The following is a 25,018-nucleotide window of genomic DNA, read 5'->3' on the forward strand; positions in this document are numbered from 1 at the left end:
GTCTCCCATACCCCTGCCCTCCCAATGCCCCAGCCCCTCACAACCACCAATTTCCATCTGTCTCTTGGATTTATCTATTCTGGATATTTCATATAAATGGAATCATACAATATGTGACCTTTGTGACTGGCTTTTTACTTAACATAATGTTTTTGAGGTTCATCCACTCTGTAGCATGTATCGGTTCTTCATTCTTTTTATGGCTGAATAATATTGCGTCACATGGATATACAACAATGTGTTTATCCATTCATCTGTTAATGGGTATTTGGGCTGTTTCTACCTTTTGGATATTGTAAATAATACTGCCACGAATATGCAGGTATGTACACTAGTTCGAGTCCATGTTTTCAATCCTTTTGTGTATATACTTAGGAGCAGAATTTCTGGGTTATATAACTCTATGTTAAACTTTTTAAGGAACTGCCAAACGATTTTCCACAGCAGTGAAACCATTTTGCAATCCAACAATGTTTGAGGGTTCCAATTTATCTACACCCTTGTCAATGCTTGTTATTTTCCATTAAAAAATGATAGCTATCCTTGTGTGTATGAAGTGGTATCTCACTGCAGTTTTGATTTGTATTTCCCTAATAACTAATGATGTTGAGCATCTTTTCATGTGTTTGTTGGCCATTTGTACATCTTTGGAGAAATATCTATTCAAGTCCTTTGCCATTTTTTAATTGGTTTGTCTTTTTGTTGTTGAGTTGAATGAGTTCTTGATATAGTTTGGATACTAGACTGTTACCACATTTATGATTTGCAGTATTTCCTCCCATCCTGTCAATTGTCTTTTCATTTTATCAGTAATGTTCTTTGATGCACAAAAGTTCTAAATTTTCTAAATTTAAAGTTCTAAAAATTTTTAATAAAGTTTAGTTTACCTAATTTTTCTTTTGTTGCTCATGCTTTTGGTGTCATCGCTAAGAATCCATTGCCAAATCCAAGGTCATGAAGATTTAAACCTATGTTTTCCTCCCTGATACTTATGGTTTGGGTTCTTATACTCATGCCACTGACCTATTATCATATTGACTTTTAATCTAACTTTTCTTTGAATGAACCTTTACTGCCACCCATTTCCTGTAGATGGGTTTGGCAATCATCCCACCAGTAACACTCTATTAAACAACTGTTGTCAATCTCACGATGGTGGATAAAAAGATTAGTATGGTATCTACTTATCTGCAATGGAATAAAGCCAGTACTACACAGTATTTTAAGTTTAGTTATTGCTCAGGTAAATAGAGATTGAATTTGATTTTACTTGCATTAAAACAAAATGTTAAAATCTGTTTTGAGGATTTACATCCTCTTTCTTTGCAAAATTCTCATTTAATAGAAAGTAAACCACATACCATATGTTCTTATAAGTGGGAGTTAAGCTATGGGTATGCAAAGGCACATAGAGTGATATGATGAACTATGGAGACTCAGAAGTGGGAGGATAGGAGTGGGACATGAGATAAAAAAACTACATACTGGGTACAATGTACACTACTCAGGTGATGGGTACACTAAACTCTCAGACTTCACCACTATATAATTTATCCATGTAACCAAAAACCACTTGTACCCCAAAAGCTATTAAAATAAAAAAAATTTAAATATGAAAGACTTACACAAGAATGCGTGAATAGGAATGTAAAAAAAAAAAAAGGTAGCAGGACATAAAATCCAGCAAAACTCCTTTAAAATTTTGGCACATGGAACAAAAATCCATTGAAATTGAATGAACTTCTATTACGTGGCTTAATGTATTTTACCAGAATTTTGTTCCACGAGTATAGCTGTTATGGGGTAAAGGGTGTCATTTGATGTGACTTGTGTTATATTCAAATCCAAGTACTAATGTCTGCTTTAAAAAGAAATTCTACTGAAACAGTATAAAATGAGCCAGTCGGTGGGCAGAGGTTGGGTAGGAAAATTGAGACGGGAAGGGATTCCCACTCTATTAAACAGCCTGAGTCATATGCAGATGCCTAATAAACCTCTTTCAATTATGGTAATAATGAGCTATTCAACTGAAGAAAAAGAACAAGCTCAACTCTCACCCTGAGATTCAGTTTTTGGAAATGATTATATGAAGATGAAATATCGTTCCTGAAATGGACTAAAATATCATCTGTAAGAATGATTTTGGCCTATTTTGGATAGATGCTGTCACTAAGAAGACATCCACAATTAAATCCCCCATGTAGATTGGTACGTTTTCCTTCTCTTCAAGGGAATTCAAGAGTTTATATCTGGACATAAGTTAGTTTTAACTTTGGCACGTGAAAATACTTTGAGTCCCATTTAGTTAACTCTGCTGTCTGTAGATCTGGGCCATTTGGTGGCATCTGTACTAGGGAGGGGAAATACACACCATCAAATGGACAAGAATGGTAATTGACATAGTTTCCAGCATTAAGCTTATTTAAAAAAAAAAAAAGAAAGGAAAAAAAGAACAGAATTTTTTCTAAGACTGTTAACACAAAATATAATTATTTTATTTACTTATTTATTTATTTAGAGATGGAGTTTTGCTCTTGTTGCCTAGTCTGGAGTGCAACGGCACGATCTCAGCTCACTGCAGCCTCCGCCTCCCAGGTTCAAGCAATTCTTTTGCCTCAGCATCCCGAGTAGCTGGGATTACAGGCACCTGCCACCAGGCCCTGCTAACTTTTTGTATTTTTAGTAGAGATGGGGTTTCACCATGTTGGCCAGGCTGGTCTCAAACTCCTGGCCTCAAGTGATCCACCTGCCTCGGCCTCCCAAAGTGCTGGGATTACAGGCTTGAGCCACTGCGCCCGGCCTATCTTATTTATTTTTTAGAGACAGGGCCACATTCTGTTACCCAGTCTGGAGTGCAGTGGCACGATCATGGCTCACTGCAGCCTCAAACTCCTAGGCTCAAGCGATCCTCCTGCCTTCGTAGCTGGTACTACAGGCACGCGCCGCCATGCCTAGCTGAAATTGTTAATTTCTTGGTATGTCCTAAAACCCACAGGATGATTGTTGATCACAAGCAGAGAACCAGAGATGAGCTTACAGATGACCTGAATTAGGATTACAAACCATAAGATCATGTATCCCATAGATAGTAAACTTTAAATTTTAACTAAAACACCTGTGTGATTAATAACCATTATTATTTCTGTTTTGTGTGATAGGGAGTGAAGAGAGACTTCAAAATGGTTGAAATAATTGGTATAAAAAAAATCTCTGTGGAAGTCTTCTGTAGGAGAGGCAAGAATAAAATCAAAGACTTTGTCCCTAATATATACTCTCATGTTGCTAGCTGATGTTTTCTTGGTGGTACATTGAAACAACAACTGCTAGTGCCAAAGTAATTGGCTATAAACCCAGTGTTCTAAACTGTGCCACTCTGCGGGTACAAATAATGTCCCATTATCATTCTTACCGGCATTTGGCCAGCCTGCTTGTGGAGGGGTCAGCTACCTTACCAGGCCACTCCCACATTTTAGGTCCTCTTATCAGACACCCTGATAAGGTGTCTGCTGGCAAACCTCGGGTCCTGGGGCTGCAGCTTTTGAAGGAGGACTGTTCTTCCCAGCCAGCTGCAAAACCCCAGGGGCCCCACAGGCTATGCAGCTCTCTTATTCTTCACAGAGCCAGAGCAAGGCTGGGTCCAGAACAGAGGGAGACCAAAGTTCCTTTCTCCAAAGGGACCACACACTGAAGTCCTTTCCACTTTTGTGTCTCCTGCCACCCCATCCAGATACCTACATATGTGTAGCTTCTGTCTCACCAGCCTTCTCTCCCCTTGCAAATGTCTTCTGTAGGTAGGTGCCTGGGGAGGTCCAGCCCCATCTGTGCATTGGTATTGTCCCCCTCTGGGAGCACTCTACTAGGCCTGCAAGATTCTCTACTAGGCTTTTTAAGGGTTACAGAAGTGAGTCCAGCAAGTTAGCGGTGGAGGTGACATGTGTACAAATCATTAGAGCCCAAGGCTGAAAGTGATGTGGTGACTGCCACTCCCAATACTTCCAGCTGTGTATCCTGTTCTGATCCCCTCCCCCTGGAATGCTCATCCTGCTGCTTTCTGTTTCCTGCCTGGCAAATTTCATTCTTCCTTCGAGGCTCTGCACAGGTAAACTCAAGGGTTACCCTGTGCTTTGAAACCTTCTTGACTCTAATGTTTTTGCTACACTGTGTCATACTTCCATTACAGTAATTATTTTTTCAACAATGACTTTAAAAAAAAGTATAAGTGACAATAACACAAACCGTACATATTTAAAGTTAACAATTTGATAACAAGTCTCACATGAGGAAGGCTACCATTATTACTTTCTTGACCCAAGGATGGCTCTGTAACACCTATTCATTGACGAAAAATCAGCAAAAGTGTTAGCTGCCAGCCCCTGGAAACCACGATTCTCCTCACTGCTTCTGTGTGTCGATTTTAGATTCTACATATAGGTAATGACATCTAGTACTTGGCTTTCTGTGTCTGGCTTAGTTCACGCAGTACAATGTCTATGCTGTGTGTGTGTGTACACATATGTGTGTGTATGAATAATATATGATGTATCAGAAATGTGACTATAGTTAACAATGAGGGTAGATCTTTAGAAATTTATTAGGAGGTAATGTTCTCATCACCAAAAAGAGAAAAGAAAATGGTAACTATGTGATATATAACTTGGTAACTATTGATATATTAATTAGCTTGATTGTGGTGATTATTTCACAATATCAAAACATCAAGTTGTTTACCTTAAATACATACAATTTTTGTCAATTACACCTCAATAGAGCTAAAAAATGAAATTTTTGTACTAATGATTTAAAGTCTTAATTTTACCTCAGAAGTCAAGTCATTACTTGCACTTAAGCATCTACATGAAACAAAACAGAACAAACTGGTACAATATTTTTGGAAAAGTCGTAATAAACTGTGCTTTGGTATGTGCCCAGTTATATCAAAAGTTGTACTTATACCATGATACCTACACATAACAAAAATGTCTATGATTCTATTTTGGGTCTGGATTATCTTGGCTAGATTACGTGCAAAGATTCTAAGCATTGTGCATTTTATTCTAAGGATGGCAGGGTGCCACTGGAAGTACACACTGAATAAACTGTTCAGTTAAATTCCCCTGTACTCAATGGAAGGGCTAGAAGCCTGGGAACTTCACATGGGTTCTGATGTCAATTCCACCAATGAGATGCCACATTTCATTCACTGAGGTGTTGCCTACAAAGCCTTAACTATTTACTATATGATCCTTCACTGAAAAAGCTTCTTGACCTCTGATTCGAACAATGAATTCTTGGGAAAGAATTAGATAAACATGTCGAAAAACAGAATAGACAGTCCGGAGACAAATCCATGTATTTATGAGAAGCTCAACTATTGACATAGGGTATTTCAAACCAGTGATGGGGTGAATGGGCTATTACACTGATAGTATTATAATAACTTACTGACCATTGAAAAGAAGAAAACAAGAATCCTACATCGTAACATCCACAACTAAAACAAAGTATAAGAGAATTAGAATAAAATAGAGGACACTTAGAATATTGGAGCAGGAAAGATCTTTTTTCTCTGACATAAAAATTAAACACTTTGCTAGTGTAAAAGCACATAAAAAAGGTTTGCAAGAAAGTAGTTGTATCATATATAATAGATAAATGAATAAGAGTTAAGGAGTTCCTACAAATTAGTTTTTAAAAAGTGGTAATGGGTAATGAACAGGCAATTTGCAAAGGAAAAACAGTCAATGCTCAAGCTTAGAAGTAACTGGGAAAATGCAAATGAAAACAACAAGATATCAACTTTTCATTCATCATACAGACACACTGATAAAAAACCCAGATGATAATAATCATTGGCAAAGATATGTAAAAAGTACTTTTTTTTTTTCTTTTCTTTTTTTTTTTTTTGAGACAGCGTCGTGCTCTGTCACCCAGGCGAGAGTGCAGTGGCGTGATCATAGCTCACTGTAGCCTCGACCTCCTGGGCTTAAGTGATCCTCCTGCTACCTCAGCGTCCCAAGTAGCTGGGACTACAGGTGTGCCACCATGCCTGGCTAATTTTTTCATATTTTTGTTGAGATGGTGTCTCACTATGTTGCCCAAGCTGGTCTTGAACTCCAGACCTCAAGCAATCCTCCTGCCTTGGCCTCCCAAAATGCTAGGATTACAGGTTTGGGCCAACACGCCTGGCCAAAAGTACTCTTGAAACACAATCCAAAGTAACTGTGGCTTCTGATGCCCAGAACCACAATTCCTACTCAAGGTATCCTTATTAGAGGCATTCAAAGAGGCATTTGATCTAACAGTGTTTGTAATAATAACAAGCCATACATAATCTCAGTGTCCACTGAAAGGAATCTGATTAAATTATGGTAAATTTATACAAAATATTTTGCTGCTGTTTTGAAGAATGAAGAAAATCTCTATATATTCACTTGAAAAGGTCTTCAAATACGTTTTATTGTAAGAAAAATCAACTCTTAGAATGGAATTTATCTTTGTGATAACAGCATGAACAATTCTTTCAATAATTCACCTTAGAAAGCGGTGATATTGACAGTTATTTACTTTTTTGTTTTGTTTGTTTTTGAAACAGTCTCCATCTGTCACCCAGGCTGGAGTGCAGTGGCACAATCTCAGCTTACTGCAAGCTCCACCTCTCAGGTTCAAGTGATCCTCCTGCCTCAGCCTCTCAAGTAGCTGGGATTACATGCATGCACCACCATGCCTGGCTAATTTTGTATTTTTAGTAGAGATTGGGTTTCAGCATGTTGGCCAGGCTGGTCTTCAACTCTTGACCTCAACTGAGCCACCTGCTTTGGCCTCCCAAAGTGCTGGGATTACAGGAATGAGTCATCATGCCTGACCAGAAAGCTGTGATATTGATATTTAGTAACGATACATATTGTTGAAAAAAATCAACTTTTGGAAAAAATGCTCTTACTATACAACTTAGGAATTGGAAAAATATACATATTTTCTATATATAATGCACAGGGAAAATGAAATGGCACATAAACTCCTGATAGTAATCTCTGGGTAGGGAAATAATCTCTGGCTTGGAGTGCCAGGGATGTTGAGATTTTGGTCTCTTCCCATTTGTATAATTTGATCCTTCATAATGAGTATGTAGTATGTGTCAGTTATTCAAATCAAAGAAAGCCTATTAGACTCATGTATATAGTCATTTATTTTGTGGCCAATTTTTTGGTGTGCTTTTCCTTAGAAAATATAGATATCTTTTTTTAAGTCCTAGAAAATATCTTAAGCTTTAAAAAAGATATTCAGGGAAATTAAATACCACACGTCTTCAATACTAAGACATTGATTTTAAGATACATCATTAATTTAATAATAGCTTTTCAGAAAAATCCAGGACATACAATTTTATACATCACATTGAATGTTTAAAATGATTATAAGATGCATTTCAACTTCATGAATGTTTTTTAGACAAAATGATAATTACAGTAGTATCACATTTTGCAGAGAAGTGTAGGTAAGTAAGATTGGAGGCTTGATTCTCCCCCTTTCATAAATGAATAAGTATGCGCTTGCAAATTGTGAAGGATCAGATTCACGTGCCTCTGGCAGGAATATTTACAGAAGAAAAGACAATCACGGGTAAAGCCCACTGCCCACTAGAAATGCCTGCATGAGTGAAACATATTCCTCCTGAGGGATGCAAGATCTCACCTTATTTGGAAATGGAAATTTGGTTGGTTCCACTTTGCCAGGTGCTTGAATAGCAGAAAGTGGTGGAAGCCAGGTCATCTCCTGAAGGACGGGATAAAAACAAACAATATTGTGATACAGACAGTATTTAAAATCAGCGGTATGTAAAGCAGCTGTACAAGTGGGCCTTCATAAGGCAGGGAAGGGTTAAAAAATGTACAAAGGCTGAAAGAATTTTAAAAAAAGATGTGAAATCCACTTTTATGATTTCATTTCCTAATTTTACCAATTCTTGACTCCTTGGCTCTCCCCATGCTCCCTTTATACCTTAAAAAAGTTTGCAAGGCTGTCCTATTTTCACTTCATTTAAGGTCCTGAGTAAAGGGACAATCTAGTAGCAAAAGTTCTATGGAAAATGCCACATGAAGGGGACTCGGACTTGATCCCACAGAATTCACAGGGTGTCTCCAAAGAAATGCATAAGGTACTTTTAACTTTATGAATCTTTATTAGAGGAGTTATTTATACAATTAGAAATAAAGTATCAGTTCTCAATAAGGCCCACACATCACTTTGGTCTTCATAAAATGTCATTCACGGAGAGTGAAAAAACAAATCACGCCTATGAAATACAGAGACAGAATGATGTCATTTCTTATAACACAGTATTAAGAACACAACATGAGCTTAACATGGAATAATTTCTCATCCACTTTTTGACACACTTTCTCTAAGCCTTGGGAAAGGGAGAGAGGGGTTGTTTTATTCACTTCCAGTATTCACCTTCAGTTTCATCTCTGGAAGGGAGTTCCAATCAATAAATGATTACAGAATTACATTGATTTCTGATGACCAGGACGCCAACTTGGAGTTTACGAATTAGATGTGAACCCTATTATTATTATTATTATTATTTTTTGAGATGGAGTCTCACTCTGTTGCTCAGGTTGGAGTGCAGTGGCGTGATCTGGCTCACTGCAACCTCTGCCTCCCAGGTTCAAGTGATTCTCCTGCCTCAGCCTCCTGTATAGCTGGGATTACAGGTGCGTGCCACCATGCCTGGCTAATTTTTGTATTTTCAGTAGAGATGGGGTTTCACCATGTTGGCCAGGCTGGTCTCAAACTCCTGACCTCGGGTGACCCGCCCACCTTGGGCTCCCAAAGTGCTGGGATTACAGGCATAAGCTACTGCGCCTGGCCGAACCCTATTTCTTGATTTGCCTGCACTTCCAAACCTAAGCAAGCACAGAAGCAGTGGTCGATCCATTTTCAGAAAAGTGAGAAATTCTCTCGCTCGAGGTGAGGACATTTCCTTACCTCCCTTTGGCGGGTGGGTGTTGAAAAGCGATTCTGTCAGGCTTTTGGAAGGAAAGAGCTCTTGGGAATGGTCGGGCACCTTCTTTTCTTGGGTCATTCACCTCCCCCAGCACCTCAGATAGTGCAGAACCCACACAGGAAGCCGTGGGAGGGCGAGTGTGTTCAAAGCCATGTGGGAAGGATTTACTGACCCCATATCATCTCTCCCACACCACGACACGTGACACAGACAGTAGGTGGGTTAGGCACATACGCATTCTAGGTGTCCCTTCTCCATTCTGGTGTTACCAACCAATTGTATACAATTTTATACATCACAAAGCAAAGCAAAGGTGGATCCAGTGACCCTTTAAACTGTCCCTCTCTCCTCCCATCTCTGCCCTGCTGGTGCCTTGGTCTCCCTTTGAGGAGGCTGATAAGCAGGACTGTCAAGTTTGCGTCCACAGTGGCATCTTTGTCCATGGAGTCAAGGAACTATTCGTCATTCTCAGAGTTGGGCCACCTTGTCTAGGACCTGGTCAGCTCTTACCCAGAGTGTTACTACCCGATTAAGAAAGCCATGAAGACACAAGTGGGTTTTCCATACCTTGGCTCCCCCATAGGGCCATCTCTCCTCTACAAGGTTTCTGATTTTATCCTTCCATTTTCATTACTGGAGAGGATATGTGATTTTGCTATAAGTGGCTTCAAATCTTCTGTAGAGAAATTATTCATCAATTACAAACTATTAAACCAATTGTCCTTTTCCTCTTTTGTTGACTGTCTGATGTGTCCCTGAGTCCATCCCACTGCTAATCAGCCACTCAATAGCTTCCTTTGCAATCACTCTTTCGCTTACACAATTTACATTGTCTGATCCTCAGGGGACAACATTGCGAAGTACAAACTAATTACTCATGATTAAACATCAGACTTACACATACCACCCCGGTATGTCTATGTTAACTTTGCATACAGACTCCCTCTGTGTATCAGAATGCCTCACATTTGTGCAATTTTTCTCTGACTGTAGCTAAAATCCAAAAAGATAAACTATTATTTCAGCGTGTCCTCCAGCAACTCAAGAATAAATAAAATGAAAAGTCCATAAAAAATGAGTAACAGTACTTTCAAAAGAACACTTCCTAGACCAACAGCTTCTTACAACTGACACTTTCAGGTTCAAATCTGTTTAATACACCGTTTATCCAAGAGTGGAATAGCAGACAAACTTTGAGATACCACTAAGCTGTGATTCTTAAGGGTGGAAACTGTCCTCCTGATCTTCGTACCTTAATCAGGGTCCATCCCTGAGCACCCACTCATCCCCTGAACATTTCCTGAAAACTTACCATTGGCAGGCACTGTAACTGTGTCTTATGTACACGAAGTGCTCAGTTCAGCATCTACTGAATTTGAAAGTTAGGGTATCGGCTCTGGCTGTGTCTATTATCAGTCTTTCTTCTCTAATTCCAGCTATGCTTGTAATCAATCTTTCCATTTCTTTCTTTCTTCCTTCCCTCCAACTCACCTATTCATTAATCCAATAACCACCCAACCTCAAAAGCAATATCCACAGAAGGCAGATGACACATTCTCTTAGCTTGCTGTCCTCATGCAAATACCCCTTCTCCTTTGAAGCTCTTGCCAGGTGGTTTTGGACCCTCACTAAAGATGAGCTGCATCTTTTTCTGTCCACTCCACTCCTTTAAATCAGACTAACGGCTCCCTCCAAAATTGCCTCCTGCCCTCCCTACCTTCATGATATTTTCCTATTTTTTTTTTTTTTTGAGCTGGAGTTTTGCTCTTGTTGCCTAGGCTGGAGTGCAATGGCGCGATCTCAGCTCACCGCGACCTCTGCCTTCCAGTTCAAGCAATTCTCCTGCCTCAGCCTCCCGAGTAGCTGGGATTACAGGCATGCGTCACCACACCTGGCTAATTCTGTATTTTTAGTAGAGATGGGGTTTCTCCATGTTGGTCAGGCTGGTCTCGAACTTCCGACCTCAGGTGATCCGCCTGCCTTGGCCTGCCAAAGTGCTGGGATTACAGGAGTGAGTCACCGCGCCCGGCCCCTATTGGTTTTTTAAAGGCAACTGGGCAATCTTATGGGCACCCCCAAGCATTTCTTTTCACCTTCTTGACATGTTCTTCTTCTGAGTCCATCTCTGCTCCCCTCAAATTTTTGGCTTCACAACCCTGACTTTAACTCTGATCTTTGGACTTCGTCTTGAAGATTCGGAATCTTGGCTTTTCCCAGTCTACTCTGAGCCAGCTCATTCCAGGGAATCGCCAGGCCCTATTTCTCATCCGGTAAAAATCGGCATATCAAATTGCTCTTGAAATTCAACACCCAACACTAGCCACCTTGCAGACATCTTAGCTGGCTTCTCCTACACAAGGGGAGAATCAATGGTAGGTCCATACAAATCTGGATCAAGCCCTCATGTCTCCATTTTTGGACCAAGCTCTCATTCTGGCTTCTCTGATTCTATACTTGGGCTCCTTAGGAAAGGTAACTGTGCACAATGGTGGGATACAGAAGTAGGACACGGACTTCTCTAAACTTGGGCCCTCCTTTCCTTCTCCTTTGAGGCTCTTGCCAGGTGGTTCTGGATCCTCATTAAAGATGATCTGCATCTTTCTCTGTCCACTCCACCCCTTTAAATCAGCCTAATGGCTCCCTCCAAAATCGCCTCCTGCCCTCCCTACCTTCATGTCTTTCTATTGGTTTTTAAAGGCAATTGGGCAATCTGGTGGTGGCTTGGGCCATGTGGCTTGGGCAATCCTTGAATTCATTCCTAGTCTGTTCCTTTTTCTGAGTTCCTCAAACATTCTTTCCACATTGGTGATTTTTCTTGAGCCTCACTTTGATCCCTGCTTTCTCACAACAGGTGACCCTGCCTCCTATGGCACTGAATAAACAAAGGCTCTTAAGTGTAAATGTTTCCCAAGGACAGACCTGTGGGTGTTCATGCCTGACCCCGTTGCCTTCCTTCTGGTCTGACTGGAAGAGGCATGAGTTCCAAGCTAATACCTGCCTGCACCCTCTGTCTGTTACTCTGTCCTTGGGGATCCAGTTCCATCAGTATCTCACTGGTATTGGTTTAACATCAATCTTTCCTTCTCCACTGGCTTTTTCCCCCAAGACTGACAAATGATCTCAGGCCTCAGCCCTTCCTGACACTGTATTCCTCCTCCAGCTGATCTTCATTTCTCTATTTCTCTTGATAGCTAACACTCTCAAAGAAGTCTTTATACTTGCTGTTTTGACATCCTCACCTACCATTTCTATTTTTGACTTAAGATTTTTTGTTGCAGATTATACACATAAGAGTCCATATAATATTGTGCATGTGTGTGTGTAAGCTTAAGATTAATGAAACGAATACCTGTGAACTCATGACCCACCTTCACATTTCCAAGACCTTAGCAACCACTTTCAATAGAAGCAGCCCTGACATAACTCCTTCTGTTGTCAAGGGCATTGGATTTCCTTGAATGCTCATTTCCCCCTGACTCTCTTCCCCCGTGGCTCCCACGCTGTCCTCCTGGCCCAGCTCCACTCTCGGAGATCTCATGCTCATTCTTTTTTGCTGAAACTTCTTTTCTCTCACTGTTCCTTGGGTGTTTTGTGTTCAGCCTTCCTCTCACTACCCTTCTTTCCCTGGCTGATCTTGCTACTGTGGCTTTAAAAACCATGTGGTATGCTGGTGATGCCTAAAAGCACATCCAGGTCTAACGTGCCCACTCTAGATGTCTACTGAGCCACTCAACCTGGGTGCTCATGAGCGATTCAAACTCACCATGTTTAAAGCTAAACTTACACGCCACACAAACTTTTCTTCTTCTTGTACTTTATATGCTGGTTAATGGCAGCAACATCTATTAACTCTTCAAGTCAGCATACCTGGAGTTATGCCAGATTCCTTCTCTTTCACTCCCTCTCTCATAATAATAACAATAATTCTCATTTATTAAGCATTTAAAATATATTATGCACGATTTTAAACGCTTTATGTGATTTGCTTAATTCTCATACCCACCCTGAAAGGTAGGCTTTATTATTTTCTTACTTTATAGATGAGGAAACTAAGTCACTAAAAGGTTAAGTGATTTGCTGAAGTTCACCCAGCAGCTGGACTTAACCATATCCTGGGCTACCTCTAAGTGGATCCAAGACCTTGTATATTCTAGCCAACTCCTAACTCCAGCCTCTCAAGCTGAGATCCCCTGAATATACCACGCTTTGCACATGCTGGTAGCACCTCCCAACCTCCTATTGTTTGCTGGGTTGTTTACTCATCAGTCAAGACCCAGCTCCATTTCCTCCTTTGCTATGAAGTCTTCTTTGGCCAAACCAAGCCACCGTTGACTCAACCTTCCTTTGTGCCACATTTCCCACGTACAGGTCTCTTTTAGAACACTTGTCCCCTCTATTGTGGTTACTTGTTTATACATCAGTGCCTCCCCTCTAACCTGTGATGAACCCCTCAAGGCTGTGTATTTTTTGTCTGGTGGCCCAGCACCTAATACAGAGCCTGGAGCAGAATGGGTGCTCACTTCATTTCTGAACAAATACTGAATTGAACATTCAGCAGTGAATCTCTGCAGTGTGTCTACCTTTCTCTCCTTTCTGTTACCTGAACTGCCATCCTAATCACACCTTCATTATCTTTAACCTGAAGTACTCTTATAGCATCCTGATTGGTTCTCTGTCTTCTGTTAGCAGTCCACCCTCCACACTGCTGCAAACTCAATTTTCGTAATTCAGAAAAACTTCACTGCTCTAAAAATCTTCACATGCGGTCGGGCAGAGTGGCTCATGCCTGTAATCCCAGCACTATGGGAGGCCAAGGCGGGAGGGAGGATCACCTGAAGTTAGGAGTTGGGAGACCAGCTTGGCCAACATAGTGAAACCCTGTTTCTACTAAAAATACGAAATTAGCCAGGCGTGATGGCGCGCGCCTGTAATCACAGCTACTCGGGCAGCTGAGGCACAAGAATCGCTTGAACCTGGGAGGCAGAGGTTGCAGTGAGCCGAAATCATGCCACTGCACTCCAGGCTGGGTGACAGAGCGAGACTCCATCTCAAAAAAAAAAAAAAAAAAGCTTCATATGCATCATCACATCACAATGATGATGATGATGGCAATGGTGACGCTGAAGATGATGATGGCTCCTATTAAGTTTTAGTTTTCAAAATACTTCCCCATGCATTTTGTCACTTATGCCCAATCTTTAACGCAACAATTGCCATCTCCATAGTACAGCAAGGAAGTTAAAGCTCAAAAAGATTAACTGATTAGTCCAAGGTCACTCAGTTTCTAGGTTTGGCCAGATAACTCTTTACTCCCAGTCCAGTATTTGTTTTCCAATCTATTGAATTTACCCTCAGAATCCTCACCCTAGTACTCAAGACCTTCTACAATAAGGTCCCAGTCTTCAGCTTCATGCCTTTTTATTGCTCTACAAATACTCTACCTACAAGAAAAACTAGCCTCTGCTTTTACTTACACCATCCCCTTAGTGTGTGAATACCCTTCCTCATATGTCTCTGAGTCTCTTTTTATCCATTAAGGCTCATCTCAAACATCATTTGTGTCTTGAGGCTTTTGCAGATTTCCCTTCTATGCCAATATAATAGGATAGTTCTCTGCTCATGCTCCTCCAAAGCACTTATTTCTTTTTCTCTTACATTCTGTTTTGTGTTATAGTTTTATGAATATGTACTTCAATCTACACCCAACCATTTATCTCTCTTTGAATGCTCTTTCTCCAATGTGAAATAAAAGCAATACTTAGGAATCCTAATAATCTCTTTTAAGAGCATTCAGTTTTACTAGGCATAATCCCCAAATAGGAATTCTAATAATCCCTTTCAAGAGCATTTGGATTTACTAAACATAATCGCCTAAAGAAGTAATATAAATTTCCTCTGAGAGGGATATTTACTTATCTTTGTGGAGACTGGAACATCTTACATAGTAAGTGCTCTATATAAACTTGTTGAATTGAACTGAACATCCACATTTCAATGCAAACTTGCTTGCTAATTTTGCTTTAATTATAGCTAAGTATTTCCGTGTGATTTTTCCATCTAACAAATTCTACTAACTACATGAAGGAATAGTAAAGAAAATATGGTTACTTAAAGCATTCAGGTCTGTAAGAATTTCCAAAACCTAAGAATTATTTCTATGATTTTAATACATTTATAATGTAATGCAAATACAAAATATGTAATATACATACAAAATGTAATTTATGAGGTACAATGCTTTTATAAGATTGATTATCCATTACATTAAAATTTCACACTAGAATTGCATGGGAAAATCAAGGGCGAATGGACTATCCTGATTTCCTCTTCTATCACTTGCTAGCCTCCTGAGCTTAGGTAAGTCACATGCTCAGTAAACTACCGTGATTTCAAGCTGTGGACTTTACGATCAATCAGATCTCAGTTTGTGGTACCTTACAACCAGAGGAAATGGGGATATAACTATCCCATGGTTTAGTCATAAAGATTAAATGAGATCATACATACATACATATATAAAGAAACTAGTATAGTTCCCCTCCCATTTAAGCATTCAATAAAAGACAGTACTGATTAATATCAAGCTGAGTTTCTGAATTGTCTCTAAAATGAGAAATATAACTTCACTCTGAGCTTTAGTTGTTGGGAGTCTGAGATGAGAGAATATATGGGGAAGAGTTTTTTAAATAAAAGAATAAGTATCATGCAAATGTAGCCTGTAATTAAGCTAGGATTATTAATGCAAACTATGTATTACTAAAACAGAAAGATATTTAAAGAGATTATTATTATTCCTAAGTATGATCTGTACTTTTTATTGGAGAAAATGTCCCTAAGTTTTTTCATAGAAACAGATTTCTGACAAAATAATAGTCAGTGGGATAATACGATTTGATAAAAATGTATTTCATTTGCACCTCATTTCTGGTAATGATTTAAAATATAAGCAAAGGTAAAATTTATCATTCCTGCTAAAATTGCACTTAGCTTGCTCCACATTATTTTATCACTGAGAAACAATGCTATTTCATTACAAGGACACTGATCCCACGTCACTGTAGCCATGGTCCTCACCCCTGCCTGTGTTCCCCACTTCACCCCCAACCACCCTTTCATTGCTGCTTTGCCTCTATTGACCTACTTTGGCCATCCTTTAACCACTTCCCAGACCATATGTAAGACAGGAAGAGAAATGTAATGTTTAAAGCCACTTACTCCAAAGTCTAGCTGGCGACCTTCGGATCTTATAAACTCCCCTGCCCTTTCTTTGCTTTGTCTGCCTTCTCTCCTTTTTCATTTTCTTGTCACTCAGGAATAAGCCTGTACCCTATTCCCCTACTCTTGAGAGGTCCTCAGTTTTGCCCTTGGGGTTTCTTAGTCACCTGCCCTTTTTTTTCCTTTTTTTTTTTGAGATAAAGTCTCACTAAGTTGCCCGGGCTGGCCTCAAACTCCGGGGCTCATATGATCCTCCTGCTTTGGCCTCCCGAGTAGCTGGAACACAGGTGCAGGCTGCCATGTCCCACTCCTTAGCCTTTTAGATACTCCAGGTGATGGAACTGAGAATCCACGTATCTGCCTCAACACAGCATCGCCAGTCCCTTCTCCCTACACAGATGTCTAGTTACTCAAGGGATACGTTCAGGTGACTTCTTTTTTTTTTTTTTGTATAGGCTTATAATGCCAAGACTCTTTATATTAAATATACTCACTTTTCTCCTAAAATGAAAGAATAGATGGTTAAATGATAAGGACACAGAATATTGCTCTTCATAACTGGCTAACGTTTTCTCTATCCTCCATATCCCAATTTTCAGGAGGTCATGGGCACATGGGCCAGTTTCCATTTTCACGTCTACTCTACAGCAAGACTGACGCCAGTCTCCAAGAACCCACACACTGATGGTGCATAGACTTTCATGTGCTCCATCTGCACAATGCCCTCCATGTAGCTGACCACTCTTCTGATGCCAGCTGCCTCTGCCTGTTTTAGGACAAGTGACAGGAGGCCTTGGGCATCCCCACCTCACGTAGCAGCTCTTTGTTACCAAAGGAGAGAAGAAACAAAAATAGAATTTTAGCCTCAAGTTAAATCTTCGAGTTCAGAGTGTGCAGCTATGAAGACCTGCAAAGTCTGTTTAGCTTACAATAGGTTCAACTAGAAAAAATTTAAGCCATGTTTTCATTTCCCTATTAAAACAAGTGAGGAGAAAAACACTTTTCCTGGTCTCTCTCCCTTGTCTGTCACTGCCACAGGAGAGTTCCATCTCGAACACTTACTATGTCACCTTTGTTCCAAAGTTTCCAGTGACCCCGGTCCAATTGTTCAAGATGCTCTGTCACATGGCACCATCAAGGACCACTGTGGCATTACCGCCTGCTGCTTTTCTATACACTGTCTTCCCCAAGCCTGATGTCTTACTTCTTGTCCTGCCCCAGGCTTTCCTGCCCCCATCTTGTTTCTCTTTTCCTTTCACGTTATTCCATCTCACTTACCTCTGCATTCTTTCTCATCCTGGCCTGTCTGTGAAGGTGACCTGTGCTACCCTGAGCGAGCCCTCTCTACCCTCCACTTATATATAATCAATGCCACTTTTTTTTTTTTTTTTTCAGATGGAGTCTCGCTCTGTCACCCAGGCTAGAATGCAATGGCGTGATCTCAGCTCACTGCAACCTCTGCCTCCCCTGTTCAAGCGATTCTCCCGCCTCAGCCTCCTGAGTCCTGGGACTACAGGCACATGCTACCATGCCCAGCTAATTTTTGTATTTTTTAGTAGAGACGGGGTTTCACCATGTTGGCCAGGCTGGTCTCAAACTCCTGACCTCAGGCGATCCACCTGCCTTGGCCTCCCAAAGTGCTGGGATTACAGGTATCAGCCACCGTGCCCGGCCAATGCCACTTATTTAGCAACTACATGCTACTCAGTGCTGTGAGCTTTCTTGTCATGTGTTACCACTATCAGAATATTTTTAAAATCCCTACTAGATTACAAACTCTTCGAGGGAAGGGATCATGTCTAATAATGCTCTTGTAACTCCTCAAAGGCCTAGCACAATGGTCAGAATAATAGGAATTAATTGAACTTCTCTGTAAGTCTCTTTTCTTGCCTGTGAAATAATGGTAGCAAGAAATTACACTGGTTTCACCAAGCGTATGTGACTGTTGCCAGGATTGAAGGATCTGCCTGGCAGATGACCGCAGTTAACTCCAGAATTCTTTGTGCTCAGAAACTTACTGTTTTCTAAACAAGACACGGGATGAATTCTGCGACTTGGGAATAAAAATGCAAGATGCTCACGTTGATGTTTATGTGTGGCAGTGGCTGCTGATCACAGTGTGATTTCATTTTCAGTTTCTGTATCAGAATAATCATTCAGCTTTTCAGTTCTTCTCACACGTATTATTCGTGTTATGACACTCTTATCAGATAAGTGCTGCCAACAACAGACATGGTGATTTTTACAACACTGCATCTCATCTAAATGCTGGCAGCTAATGCCACTGTACCTGGTGAAGAGGAAAACACCCCTACGGGCCTGTACCTGGGACACCAGGCAGTAGCCCTGGAGTAAGATCAAGTGGGAGACACATATTCCTCCCCTAATGGGACTGCAGTGTGCATTCTGCCTGTCAATCCATTCCTAGCATTTGTGGGCAAAGACCCAACATCCCCCTTTAAACACAGATTCCAGGGTCAGGCTGGAAGGCTCAGAACTAGGAAGTCACACTTAAAACCTTTAAGTTGGCCTCTAAATCAACAAAAATTCACAAACAACCTTATTTTACCACTCTACAGTAAAAAACAAACAAACCTGTATAGTTTGAAAAATAATAAATATAATGCATTCATATCGATTAATATTAACAGGCCAGGAACAGTAGCTCACGCCTGTAATCCCAGCACTTTGGGATGCTGAGGTGGGAGGATCTCTTGAGCCTAGGAATTCTAGGTTTCCGTGAACTATGATTGCACCACTGCACTCCAGCCGGGGTGACAGAGGGAGACCCTGTCTTTAATCACAACAACAACAACAATAATTAGCATTTTGATGGAAATACTACTGATTGAAAACTTTTAGGAAAATGGTAGCTGCTGAAAAAAGTGCCTTTAAAAAATATCTATTTCTCATAGTATAGCATAGGCTGCTAAAATGCCAGAAACCAAAATTGCAACTGATTCAAACACAGATACAAACCAGCAAATAACCAAAAAGACTGCAAAAAAGAGGGTTAACAAAAATCGTAGCAAAATCTTGTTTCTTCAATCTGAAAACCCAGGAATATGTCCAGTTTGAACTGAAACAGGCCTGAGAAGGGGATTCCTGGGAGCTGTACACGTGTTTTCTGGTCTTATACCGACCCACTGGATGACAGGATCTCAGAATGGGACGCTGATTAATCTACTTCATTGCAGTGCCTGAGCTTCTGAACTCTGCCCCTGCCTGCGATGAGGTTAATCATCAAAGGATAAAATGGGGGTAACAATCAATAGAATCAGTTTGAGAGGCAGCTTTCAGTTCAGGTTTTGCAGACTGACAAGTACGAAAGTAGCCATTCAAACTGGAAACACTGAGGGTAACTCAGACCTGTGCATCCCACTTGCTCCTTGGTCTGTAGATTCTCACTTATCTAAAAGCAGAGGCCACAGGGCATCTGGCCTTTCATTACTTCCTTTGCATCATCAAAAGCACTCCTTATTGCAGGGAAGTCAATTCCATGCCACTGGAGACCCTACCTTTCACCTCCTTGACTTCAGCTTCCCTGGAAACTGAACTCTCCACAGAGAGGATTAGAACATTGAGAAAAGTCAAGATACAGTCTTCACCTTAAAAGTTTGTTTCATGCTAGATCCCTTAATTTTGGACCTTTCTGGAGAATTCTTGTTCTCGTTTTGCATTTTTCCAGCTTTCTTTTGGGGCAGAGGATGAGAGTCACCTGTCTTATTATCTCTCTGTGTCAAGTACATTCCTGTTCTATTTATTTACTTGAAACTTTTTTGAACAATAAAAATGAAACATTAAAAAAATTTATTCTTCGATCCACCTGGTTTTCAATGTTCATTTTATTACTTGTGTTTAAAAAATAATATGATTCTCATTCTTTAACTTGCAGATTGTTCTTAGAACTGAGCATTGCATTAAAATATTCAAAGTAGTAACATTTAGATTGGGTCTTCAGAATTTTAGGAAGATGGTTTTGCTGCTGAGTATACAGCTGCATGGACTGAGTGACTCTTGTTAAACCCAGGTGACTCCAACTTCACCACGGAGTCCCTGCTGCAATATACAGACACCTGCTAGTTTCTGGCACTCCTTCAAATCTCGTGCTCATGATGAGAAGCAATAATTGGCCTGATTTTAAATTTTAAAAATGCTTTTTTTGACAAGCAAAAAAAAAATTAAAACATTTGAGGGGCACTGAGAGAATTTCCCAAATTCTGAATCTGGGGCTGACACATCACTGCGTCATTTCTGAGCCAAATCTTGTCAAATCGTGTTAACTCGAGGTTTATAAAAAGTGAGCCAAATTTCTGATCAGCTCAGGAGAAAATGCACGTTACTAACTATGCCACTGACACTTTATTTCTGACTCACATAATACTTTTTAGTGGTAGCACAAACACCCAGAAGTGAGCCTTCCTAACAGACAAATAGATGATCGTTGAACTAACTGTGGCTTGCAACAATCAAACCACTCTTTCATATATACTTAAAGGAAAAAATGGCATTATTTGGGACAGACTGGAAGACTGTGGAGGCTGGAAGGAGAAGGGGGTGAAAATTACATTCTTGGCCACGTTTTCCACACAACCCATTCCTGAACCCCTTTCCACAGACAATTTGGAAATGTGCATTCAATAAAACCCCTGTCGCAATTGCAGAGAAGCAGAGGGTAGAAGAGATCGGGCTTGGAGTCAGCATCTGGGAAACCTTGTATAATTTTGGCCTTGCCATAAACCAGCAGAATGACCTCGGGCAAGTTTACTTTTCCGATTATTAGTGTCCTTATCTGTAAATTGGTATCAATCATTCTATCTTGCAGGATTACCTGAGTGGTTAGTGATAAATATACAAAGAACCTAGCGTAATAGCTGGCACATAGTAGGTGCTCATAAAAAATAATTATTGCTGTATTGCTACCTTTATAACTAGTGTTGACAGCTTCTGGATTCGACCTGGTGAGGAAAGGGGATAAATATAGAAGACGTTTATGAATTTGTTTTTTAATCTATTTTACTCTTTAATTATTTAATATTTAACTGGTTAATTATTCATAGTCAAACAGAAGGCTTAATAAAAATGTGCTTATTAAACAATAATTTGCTTCCTTAACTCCCTTCACCACTAAAGCAGCATGTCCATAAAGGGAAGGAAGAATGCTATCTCAGGGTCTGGAATTTTTCTTCAAAGGGATAGTTACTAGAAATCAGCATACATCCTCTTTCTAGTTTGGGGCTCTACAGATTAGAAGCTTTGCCCTCATGCTATAGACTACCCTTGCAGGCACCAGCTTGGGTAGTATAGGAGGTGTTAGGCAAGCTGGGAGTGTAGCGGGAGGCTACCTGGCTATGATGACAGGGCAGTGATTACTGTCCAGGCAGGTGGCTGAGCAAGGTGACAAGCCTGGGCAAGAATAAACCCTGGAAACTACTGGGGCCAGGATCAAAGTTCCCGGTCAGGTGGGACTTCTGGTTTACCAGAGGGAAGGTTAGGACAATCCTGCCGAAGGCACATGCCTTTCTCCCTTTCAAATGTTTCCCAGCTAAACCACTTCCAAATGAGCAGGCTTCTACTAACTTTATGCAAGTATTTTTCTCAGTTTTGAGAGGTGATTTATAAATCACTGAATGGCATTGCCCTAGGACAGCAGGGATGTCTCTGGGTCTTAAGGATGAATGTGAAGGCAGGATGACTTTATAGGAAACAGAAAATGTCTACTAACATGCTCCAGATATTGACAGTAAAATCCAGAGGCTGGAGGAAAGCTGGTTAGCCTTGGAAAAACCATCTTTTCTTTTTCTTTTCTTTCTCCTTTTTCAGAAATAAGGTTAAACTATCCTTAAGAATAAGAAGGAAAATATTAAAACATTCCCCCCCAAAAGTTCATAGATCTTCAAGAAAAGAGAAGTTAGGACCAAAATATAAACAGGATGACAACTGCTTTTATTTGAAGAAAATAGAGTTTTCTAGAAGACTGAATCAGTATAGCCTGATAAAGTGCTTATCCATTGGGAAAAGATATTCTATGGGAGCAAACAAATAAAGATAAAAGAGGAAGACATTAAATTAATAATGGCTAAAGAAGGTGAGAGCCTGAACTCACTTGCTAAATGTGTCTTTAAAGAGGGAGCCAACATGATCTCACAAGAGTCTCTATGAGAAGGTGAGAAGGAAGGTTCTTAGTACTCAAGGGCGAATAGGCAATCTACAAATTTCAGACCAATGTTTTTATCCCTTGATGTTCACTGACAACACAGACACAGTTCCCTGTTTTGAAAAGAGGTCTAACAATCATGCTGAACAGTCTGAGACTTAATAGAGCCAATCAGTTCAGTTTCTATTAGTGCACCTGTACACTCAGGCATGCGTTCAACCAAACACACATTTAGACACTCAGACTACTCTAGGTCTTGGGAAACAAAGCAGAATACAACAGACATGGCCCCTGCTCTCAGGAGGTGTAAGCACCATGAGAGGAGAGAAGCAATAAACAATGAACAAATACATGTAAACGCAACAGATCTATATTCGAACAGTTGCTGCATGGTTCTGATGGGTCTAATTAGCATTTTGGCAAAGAAGAAGCATGAGAAGGGCATGGATTCTGTGTCAGACATTTGAGGGGCTGGCTTGTGGAAATGACATTATGTGTGGTTTAAAGCTACAGGGAAGATTTTGGTTTTAATAAACTTCCTAACAATTTCTGTCACTAAACATTCCACAGGTGTTTTGTGCTAAGCACTGTTCCAGGTGGCTACATTCTGGTAAAATGAGGTAGACAGTAAACATGTATATGACACTATGTAACATCACACGTTGTAACCCAAAGCAGCATAATTTGGCATAATGTAATATAACATAGTAACCATTAAAGCTGTGCATCAGTAAACTGGCCATCACCATCAGTGAAATGGTGAGCTGCAGCTGGGTGCGGTGGCTCACGCCTGTCATCTCAGCACTTTGGGAGGCCGAGGCGGGCGGATCACGAGGTCAGGAGATTGAGACCACGGTGAAACCCCATCTCTACTAAAAATACAAAAAATTAGCTGGGTGCGGTGGCAGGCACCTGTAGTCCCAGCTACTCAGGAGGCTGAGGCAGGAGAATAGCATGAACCCGGGAGGCGGAGCTTGCAGTGAGCTGAGATTGCGCCATTGCACTCCTCGAGGCATTTGGGATCACAAGCAGAGTGGGATGTCTCTGGGAATCCCCAGCCTGGAGCAGCTTCCTCTGACTTTGGTGGAGCCACATGCAGGGCTCAGGGCAACTTCTGCTCTCTATTCTTAACCTTCCTTAATTGTTGTGTCTCAATATTTTCAGTCTCAATTCCTGACTCAATGAAGTTCTTAATTTCATATGTGATCCCTGGTGGGTTTGGGACACATGATTTCATTTTAGTTTTTAATTGAAAAAGTATTTATTGAAAAAGTATTTCCATAATATTTTCTGCTTAAATAACATATGCTTCTGGTTAAAAAGTTAAACATTGCAAAAAAAATAGCAAATGCAGGAGAGTGAAACCCCCCAGGATCCTAACACCTGCAGATAATGTCAATGGTGACCAGTGTTAAGCACTGGGTACTTATCTGATTTTTATATACATGCACTAAGATGGGGATTATATTAATATATGTATATTTAATGAGGTCATACTGTTTGGTGATATACTCTTTTTCACTGAGCATCTTTCCCAACACAACATACAAATGGGTCTTCTTTTTTGCAGTTATTATTTTGGATTGGTTCATCTTAAAAGTCTTTCTACCTAAGAATAGTTTACACACCATAGTTACAGTGTTGCAATATTCTGTTTTTCTGTGTACTTACTGTTACCAGTGAGTTTTATGCCTTCAGTTGATTTCTGGCTCATTAATGTCTTTTTCTTTCAGATTAAATATCTCCCTTCAGCATTTCTTATACGACAGGTCTGGTGTTGAGGAAATTCCTCAGCTTTTGTTTGTCTTAGAAAGTTTTAATTTCTTCTTCCTGTTTGAAGGATATTTTCACCAGATACACTATTCTGGGGTAAAAGTTTTTTTTCCTTTAGCACTTTAAATATGTCACGCCACTCTCTCCTGGCCTGCAAGGTTTCCGCTGAAAAGTCTGCGGCCAGATGTACTGGAGCACCATAGTATGTTACTTGTTTCTTTTCTCTTGTTGCTTTTAGGATTTTGTATCTATCCTTGACCTTTGGGAGTTTGATTATTAAATTTCTTGAGGTAGCCTTCTTTGGGTTAAATCTCCTTGGTGGTCTCTAACCTTCTTGTCCTTGGATATTGATACCTTTCTCTAGGTTCCGTTATTATACCTTTGAATACACTTTCTCCCTATCTATTTCTCTCTCTGCCTCCTCTTTAAGGCCAACAATTCTTAGACTTGCCCTTTAGAGGCTATTTTCTACATCTTATACCTGTGCCTCACTGTTTTTTATTCTTTTTTTCTTTTGTCTTTGCCGATCATACATTTTCAAACAGCCTGTCTTCAAGCTCACTAATTCATTCTCCTGCTTGATCTGTTTGGCTATTAAGAGACTCTGATGCATTCTTCAGTATGTCAGCTGCATTTTTCAACTCCAGAATTTCTGCTTGATTCTGTTTAATTATTTCAATCTCTTTGTTAAATTTATCTGATAGAATTCTGAATTCCTTTTCTGTGTTACCTTGAATTTCTTTGAGTTTCCTCAGAACAGCCATTTTGAATTCTCTGTCACATACCTCTGTTTCTCCAGAATTAGTCCCTGACACCTTATGCCTTATCTAGTTCATTTGGTGAGGCTGTTTTCCTGGATGATGTTG

General features: G+C 40.3%; 1 protein-coding gene across 20 annotated transcripts in view; it reads right to left on the reverse strand.

Annotated features, from left to right (window-relative positions):
• AFF3 (ALF transcription elongation factor 3) overlaps window positions 1-25,018 on the reverse strand; it is a 597,172-nt gene that overhangs the window by 199,110 nt on the left and 373,044 nt on the right. For all 20 annotated transcript variants that reach the window (NM_002285.3, XM_047444286.1, NM_001386135.1 and 17 more), the window contains one exon: window positions 7,693-7,773. In NM_002285.3, coding sequence (NP_002276.2) covers window positions 7,693-7,773 — 81 coding nt within the window. The remainder of the gene's footprint in view (window positions 1-7,692; window positions 7,774-25,018) is intronic.

Source organism: Homo sapiens, chromosome 2, assembly GCF_000001405.40.
Source record: "Homo sapiens chromosome 2, GRCh38.p14 Primary Assembly".
Taxonomy (NCBI): domain Eukaryota; kingdom Metazoa; phylum Chordata; class Mammalia; order Primates; family Hominidae; genus Homo; species Homo sapiens.